This window comes from Homo sapiens, chromosome 5, assembly GCF_000001405.40.
Source record: "Homo sapiens chromosome 5, GRCh38.p14 Primary Assembly".
NCBI classification, from domain to species: domain Eukaryota; kingdom Metazoa; phylum Chordata; class Mammalia; order Primates; family Hominidae; genus Homo; species Homo sapiens.
The window spans coordinates 40,653,360-40,656,207 of record NC_000005.10 but is presented as its reverse complement, the minus strand read 5'-3'; the positions used below and the strand labels follow the sequence as shown (position 1 = coordinate 40,656,207).

Sequence of the window (2,848 nt, the reverse complement as noted above, 5' to 3'; positions counted from 1 at the left end):
TCTTGAGTTAATTTTCATATTTGGTGAGATATAGAGATCCAGTTTCATTCTTCTACATGTGGCTTGCCAGTTTTCCCAGCACCATTTACTGAATAGGGTGTCCTTTCCCCCATTTGTGTTTCTGTATGCTTTGTCAAAAATCAATTCATTGTAAACATTTGGCTTTATTTCTGGGTTCTCTATTCTGTTCCATTGGTCTATGTGCTTACTTTTATACCAGTACCATGCTATTTTGGTTACTATAGTCTTGTATTACAATTTGAAGTCAGATAATGTGATGTCTCCAGATTTGTTCCTTTTGGTTAGTATTGCTTTAGCTGTGTGGGCTGTTTTTTGGTTCCATATGAATTTTAGGATTGTTGTTTCTAGTTCTGTGAAAAATGATGATGGTATTTTGATGGGAATTGCATTGAATCTGTAGATTGCTTTGGGCAGTATGGTCATTTTCACGACATTGATTCATGCAATCTATGAACATGGGATGTATTTCCGTTTGTTTGTAACAGCTATGATTTCTTTCGGTATTGTTTTGTAGTTCTCGTTGTAGAGATCTTTTACCTCTTTGGTTAAGTATATTCCTAGCTATTTTATTTATTTATTTATTTATTTATTTATTTATTCATTTATTTATCAGCCATGGTAAAATAAATTGAGTTCTTAATTTGATTCTCAGCTTGGTCATTTTTGTTGTATAGCAGTGCTACTGATTTGTGTACATTGATTTTGTAACCTGAGACTTTACTGAATTAATTCATCAGATATAGGAGTCTTTTGAGGCAGTCTTTAGGTTTTTCTAGGTATGAGATCATATCGTCAGCAAACAGTGATAGTTGACTTCCTGTTTTCCAATTTGGTTGCCCTTTCTTTCTTTCTTTTGTCTGATTCCTCTGGCTAAGACTTACAGTAAGTACTGTGTTGAATGGGCATACTTGTCTTGTTCCAGTTCTCAAGGGGAATGCTTTCAACTTTTCCCCATTCAGCATGATGTTGGCCGTGGTGTTGTCATATATGGCTTTTTTTTTTTTTTTGAGATAAGTCCTTCTATGCTTAGCTTGTTGAGAGTTTTTATCATAAAGGAATGCTGTTTTTTTTCTTAAATTTATTCCTTTCAACATGTATGAAACCAAGCATCCCTGGCTGCTACAGCAGATAGCAGACAGGTATAGTTAAGAAAAAAACTTTATTTTAAGCAGGGAGAATGACAACACAGCACTTAACAGCTATATTCTAGTCTGAATCCTGCGTGGGAGGCTGGATTTTATCAGATGCTTTTTCTGTGTCTATTGAGATGATCATATGATTTTTATTTTAATTCTCTTGATGTGATGAAACATATTTATTGACTTGCATATGTTGAAACATCCCTGCATCCCTGGGATGAAACTCACTTCATCACGATGAATTTTTTTTTTTTATGTGCTGTTAGATTCAGTTTGCTAGTATTTTGTTGAGAATTTTTGTATCTATATTTATCATGTGCTTTCCTGGCTCTGGCATCAGGGTAATACTGGCTTCCTAGAATGAGTTAGGGAGGATTCCCTCCTTCTCAATCTTTTGGAATAGTGTCAGTAGAACTGGTACCAATTCTTTGAATGTTTGGTAAAAGTTGGCTGTGAATCCATCTGGCCCTGGGCTTTTCTTTGTTGGTGGTTATTAAAATTACTCATTCAATTTCACTGCTTGTCATTGCTCTGTTCAGGATTTATATTTCTCTCTGATTCAAGCTAGGGGAGTTGTATATTTTCAGGAATTTATCCATTTCCTCTAGATTTTCTTGTTCGTGTTCATAGAGGTGTTCATACTAGTCTCGAATGATCTTTTGTCTTTCTGTAGTGTCAGTTGTATTGTTTCCATTTTCATTTGTAATTAAGCTTATTTGAATCTTCTCTCATCTTTTCTTGGTGAATCTAGGTAGTGGTCTATCAATTTTGTTTATCTTTTCAAACAACCAGCCTTTTGTTTCATTAATCTTTCTCATTTTTTGGTTTCAATTTCATTTAGTTCTGCTCTGATCTTTCTTATTTCTTTTCTTCTGCTTAACCTTCCTCCAGAAAGTTAATGTGATCTTTTGGGGGTGCTATAGAACCCTGTTATTTCATATTGCCAGGATTATTTTTCTGGTTCTTTTTCATTTGGGTAGGGACTATTTCTTCTAATTATTTTTGTATTTATTTTTTATTTGACAGGCTTATTAAAATATTTTTTCCCCTTGAGGATGTGACTTTAATGTTTATAGTTTATTGTCACCTAGCTTCAGCTCTAGGTGCATTCAGTGGTGAACACTGTATAAATTCCTTGGTTACAGAGAATCTTTTTGTAACAGCTTTCTCAGATGCTGGTTGTAGTAGTGATGTGGTGGGTATGTAAGCGGGTTCACTGTTTCCTGTGGGGCTGGAATGGCAGAGGTCTCATGAAGCTTATTTTGTTCCCCAGTGGTGTCTACTTTGTTTTTTTTGTTTTTTTTTTTGAGACAGGGTCTTGCTGTCACCCAGGCTGGAATGCAGTGACACGATCATGGCTCATTGGAGCCTTGACTTCCCAGGCTCAAGTGATCCTCCCACCTCAGCTTTTTGAGTAGCTACTATAGGCATACACCGCCATGCCTGGCTAATTTTTGTATTTTTTATAGAGATGGGGTTTCACCATGTTTCCCAGGTTGGTTTCTTTTGTCCCACGGGGTGTTCTGTTAATGTGGTGCACTCTGCCTAGGAGTAGCAGCCCCTGAGGGCCAGACTACTGTGAATCCTGCTGCTCCTCTGGGTCTAGCCACCCAGTGGGGCTGCCACACTCCAGGCTGGTGCTGGGGAATGTGCTGTGACCTGTCCTCTAGTCTCCCAGTAGCAGGTAC

The 2,848-nt window shown here is 37.1% G+C and overlaps 1 non-coding gene across 1 annotated transcript; it reads right to left on the bottom strand.

The window, feature by feature from the left end:
- Positions 1 to 1,113: 1,113 nt before the first annotated feature.
- LOC124900196 (small nucleolar RNA SNORA63) lies at positions 1,114 to 1,245 on the bottom strand. Its single transcript, XR_007059145.1, has one exon. It is a non-coding gene; the product is annotated as a small nucleolar RNA SNORA63 (small nucleolar RNA).
- Positions 1,246 to 2,848: the final 1,603 nt, after the last annotated feature.